Source organism: Homo sapiens, chromosome 4, assembly GCF_000001405.40.
Source record: "Homo sapiens chromosome 4, GRCh38.p14 Primary Assembly".
NCBI classification, from domain to species: domain Eukaryota; kingdom Metazoa; phylum Chordata; class Mammalia; order Primates; family Hominidae; genus Homo; species Homo sapiens.
The window spans coordinates 1,977,910-1,982,722 of NC_000004.12; the positions used below are offsets into that span (position 1 = coordinate 1,977,910).

Here is a 4,813-nt window from a genome sequence, read left to right on the forward strand (position 1 = left end):
TGAGGTCAGGAATTCGAGAGCAGCCTGGCCAACATGGTGAAACCTCATCTCTACTGAACATAGAAAAATTAGCTGGTCGTGGTGGCGGGCGCCTGTAATCCTGGCTACTCGGAAGGGTGAGGCAGCAGAATCACTTGAACCCAAGAGACGGAGGCTGCAGTGAGCCAAGATTGCGCCACTGCTCTCCAGCCTGGGCGACAGAGCTAGACTCCATCTCAAAAAAAAAAGAATTCAGATATTTGTGTAAAAACATTTTTGTACGGTAAAGATGACACACGATAGAGAAAAGTGTTGGCCATGGGTGCGAGAGGGTGGTCCCTAACGTGACAGAGCTTTTACAGAGTCATGCCAGAAAGATGAATACCCAAGTTGAAAATCAGTCCCTTGGGAGAGGGCAGGTCACATGGAAATCAGCACAGCAGCCCCTGCCTGTCCACGCCGCGCTGGGGGACACTCCTGCACCCGGCACAGCTCCTCTCAGTTGCCGAAACATAAAGAGACGCTAACAGGTGGTCCTTAGGGGCCTGGCAGGTACTGTGGAGTCAACAGGCCCTGCCAGGGAGCCCGCCCGGGCTGTGGTAGACAGTTTGTCTGCCCGTCCTGTTCGCTGGAGCCAGCACTATTTTGTGTTCATTTGACCTGACAGTTGTAAGTCATCTTCAACCACGATAATGTTGAAGTCGTGATTCCATCACTTCTGTGTGCTCACATCTTGTGTTCTGTTGCAGGGAAGTGGGAATGTCCTTGGCATCATTGTGACGTGTGTGGCAAACCTTCGACTTCATTTTGCCACCTCTGCCCCAATTCGTTCTGTAAGGAGCACCAGGACGGGACAGCCTTCAGCTGCACCCCGGACGGGCGGTCCTACTGCTGTGAGCATGACTTAGGGGCGGCATCGGTCAGAAGCACCAAGACTGAGAAGCCCCCCCCAGAGCCAGGGAAGCCGAAGGGGAAGAGGCGGCGGCGGAGGGGCTGGCGGAGAGTCACAGAGGGCAAATAGCGCCAGGCGGCCGCTTGGCCGGATCCAGGGGCGGTGCAGGGCGGCCGGCCCTGCCTGCGGGAGAGGGCGAGCATGAACTGGCCCGGAGGACCCAGCTCGAGCCGCCAGGACACAGACGTACAGGCCTCCTCGGGAGGGAGCGCCTCCCCACCACTGAGCCATCCTCAGCAGCGTCCGCTGCGTCTGCACTGATGACCGTCTGAGCCCAGCTCAGCGTTCCTGGACAAACAGCCTCACTCCTCAGCGTTACCGCCACACTTGAATTTCTCCGAATGTCAAGGTTCCCTCCCACTCTATTTTTTTAGGTTAAAGTTAATTGGCATATGGAATGTTTTAATCTCCTCTGAAATGTGTAGCGTAGGCTTTTCCCAAGGGTCGCTAGAAACTCGTCTTCGCGTTGCCCCCTTTCTGGCTCTCAGCGCCGTCGCCACTCGGGAGAGGCTGGGTGAGGCCCGTGTGAGGACTGACCCTGGATTCCTCGAAACTGCCATTGTGATCATTACTCTGCTCTTTGGAAATGGCTGTATCATTTTTTTGTACTAATGTGAATTGTTCCTCAGAAACGCTTCTTTTCCATCCTAGTGAGAAGCTGGCCCTGCAGGTGGTGGCAGCAATGGTGTTGTAAGATTTCCTCCCGTAGTTTTTTCTCCTCATGGATTTGAATGAAATGCCAATAACACGTCCACTTTCAACGTGTAGTTTACGCGGAGCACTTTCGAGGCCTGGCCGGGTTGGGCCTACTTCTCACCTGGGCCTATCTTCTGAACTCGCTAGGTTCTTATCAACATTTGGGGGATAACTTTGTATATTTTTTTCATTTGGCTTTTCTTTACCAGTTTCTGATTTTTATTCTCAATATATTTTTGCTAAACCTATTTCACAAATCACCACCGACTGAAGTGTGTGTTTACTGATGCGGCCCTGAGCTCCATGGCGAAAGGAGTGACTTTGCAGGGCGTGAGACCGCAGTCTGCTTAGAGCACAGGAAGTGACAACTTAGGGAGCCCCGTAGGGCGCTGCAGGCCCCGGGGACCCCAGCACGTGGGTCTAAAGAGAGACGGAGTCTAGCTCTCCTGCCACCCAGAGTGGCTTCCATCTCAGCACTCTGTGGGTCTGGTGATGGAAGATGCAGTCTCTGCTGATCACATGTGCCCTCTGCCAGGGCACCTACTGAGAGGTGCGGTCCTGGGGGTGGAGGCCTGCCTGGCAGGTGTGCGTGCCTCGTACGTGTGTTATGGGCACTGGTCTAGGCCAGGTATGACACCCACTCTCCTGTGAGATTTCACTTTAGTTTTTAAAAGGTCCAGTTCTACAGAGTGAGACCTATCTATCTGAGTACTACATATGTTTTAAGACTTGGTTCTTTTTTTGAGGGATCCTTGACCCTGGGAAGTCTGGAGCACCCTGAGAAGGGGGCACCATGTGTGCCTTTGCCCACGTGTCCTGAGGGGCTGCTTGTCTGGGAGGGAGGGAGAGAACATTCAGCAGCAGGTGCTTTTTTATGGCCTTTTCTTAAAATAACCTAAGGGGGACACATCCATCTTGCAGAGAAGTTTACAGAACTCCCCTTGAAAACTGCTGCTGAGGCTCCTGTTAAATTTTCTGTGGCATCTTTTATGCCTTGGTAAAAACTGCAGTGTCTTTGGACCTGAGAGTGGCTACTCCGTGGTTTTGTGACCTGTAAGCGTGGGGTTCAGGGGTGTGTGGCCCTGCAGGGTCCCACGCCTCCCTGAGCACTGACTGGAAGTTTCACTGGCTGGTGGCTGTCCCTTCTCCCATCAGGGTCCCCAGCAAAGTTAACTACACAGAGGACCCAGGGGAAACGAGCTGTGTAGCCACTGACTTGCTCGCGCGGCCGTGGCCTCTGAGGGGCACTCGCCGGTTAAGACAGGGTGGGAGTAGTGCTTTCCAGTTCAGACTCTAACTTCTCCCAAAGTGTCCTAAGAAAATACTGGATCGGCTCATAGATTTATGCTCCTTATGATGCCCTAACTTGGAAGGTTGTTCTAGGGACAGGCCGGGCAGTGTCCCCACACACACCTTAGAGTCGAAGGCCCCAGGGCCCCGCTGTCACTTGCCCAAAAGATCCCTTCCGGCAGGTAAGGGACTACCAATGCTTACGTCAAAACAGCAGAATCGGCTTTGCAGTGCACTTTGGGGAGCAGATATTAACTTATTTTTGTGTTGGACAGTAGTGAAATCTTGTGATTTTTAATCGCTTTGATAATACTTCCAAATTTTATGATTTTTCTGAAGGAAATAATGCAAACATTTTAAATATGTTTCTCCCCCTTTCCAAAAACTGTTAAACTAATGAGCAAGTAACACTAACTTTGAATGTCTCTACAATACCCGTTGATAACTCAGTGGAGCCAGGCTTTGGGGTAGCGGCCCTGAGCTTGCAGGGTTTCTCGCCACTGGGGCTGACCACGCCCCCAGCTGTGACCGTGGGTGTGGCTGGCTCTCGGCCCTGCCCAGCTTTGTTCTGAGGACGTGGTGACTTCCTGAACATCAGCTTCAATCCTCCATCATTAATGTGAAGCAAAACACAAAAACCGCCCCAATCCCTCAGGATTCCTTGGCATCCGAAACCAGCATCTGCACCTAAACCCATACCCACCCGTGTGCGCCCACAGGGGGATGTGTCCGAATGGGCAGCTTAAAATGTGGTCACCTGTGGGGGAAACTCTTCAGGCACCTGAAGTGAGAACCCAGCTGTCCGTCCTCAGGCCGGCCTTTCTTCCGGCGACACCCGTCCATGGCTGGCTGGGTCCCCTTCGCAGTGTTTGTCTGTCTTGACATCTAAACCCCGGCGTGTGCAGTGCCCATCTTCCAGGACTACCTTATTTTCCAGAATTAAACCTGTTTTATAATTCAAGTTAATGCAAATGACTGTCAGTTGCCAAATATCTTGATCCTATGAGTGTAGTTGATGACTGTTTGTTAGTCAGTAGAGTAAAATGCTGTGTCCACGGGGTGTCACAGCCTCACCATACCCTGTTGAGGTGTGAAATGCCCCGTCAGAAATTAAATACAAACTTAAATGTGCCTATTGGTGTCTAAACTTCATACAATGTAAGGTCAGATTCCTTTTAGGAATACTGGGTGCTGTCACCAGGTTTGATAGTTAGACTTAAAAACTTGAAATTCACTTTTTGGGGGGAGGGATATACTGAAATAGAGAGTTGAGACTTGCCAGTTGGGGGAAAATAGCATTTAAAATGGAAAGCTGTGTTTGGAAAATTGTGTATGAGTATTTTTGTATTAAAAACATTTTAAAGGCTTTTTTCTTAACTTATTTTATATGGGATTGTTTGATTTTTTTTCCAGTTACTTTGAATTGCAAAGCATCGGGTGTGGCACTGATGCCTCCGATGGGTGGGGCTCCCTGTCCTGACTGTGTCATTTTGCCTTTGACCTGACCCGCTGGGGAGAGGCAGTGCCACCTTGGGAAGTATAACAACAAATACTGGAAATAGCAGGCATAACTGACTGACTTTGGAAAAATGCTTTCTTCTTCTTTCAGAAATAATTTGCTTCCCAAATTCCCATTAAGGGTGAAATGGTCTAGAGAGAAGGAAGCACTGCTGTCCCCCAGCCCTGCAGTCGGCTGAGCCGGGTGGTCCCCAGGCCCACAGCCAAGTAAGTCAAGGGAGTACCCCGAGGGCTGATCCTACCTGTTCCCCACCCTGTGGGCCAGGGTGTCCTAGGAAGCCCCCAGCCCTGGCCCACCCCGTCCTGATGGCCGCCTAGGGAGGGACTGGGTCCCCGGAGCAGGGAGGACAAGCTGGCCCCAAACACAGCTATGGTGGC

The 4,813-nt window shown here is 51.5% G+C and overlaps 1 protein-coding gene across 19 annotated transcripts in view; it reads left to right on the forward strand.

Annotated features, from left to right (window-relative positions):
* Positions 1–4,283, forward strand: part of NSD2 (nuclear receptor binding SET domain protein 2) — a 110,800-nt gene extending 106,517 nt beyond the window's left edge. For all 19 annotated transcript variants that reach the window (NM_001440892.1, XM_047416141.1, XM_047416137.1 and 16 more), the window contains one exon: positions 729–4,283. In NM_001440892.1, the coding sequence (NP_001427821.1) occupies positions 729–1,000 (272 nt within the window). In that variant the 3' untranslated portion in view covers positions 1,001–4,283. The remainder of the gene's footprint in view (positions 1–728) is intronic.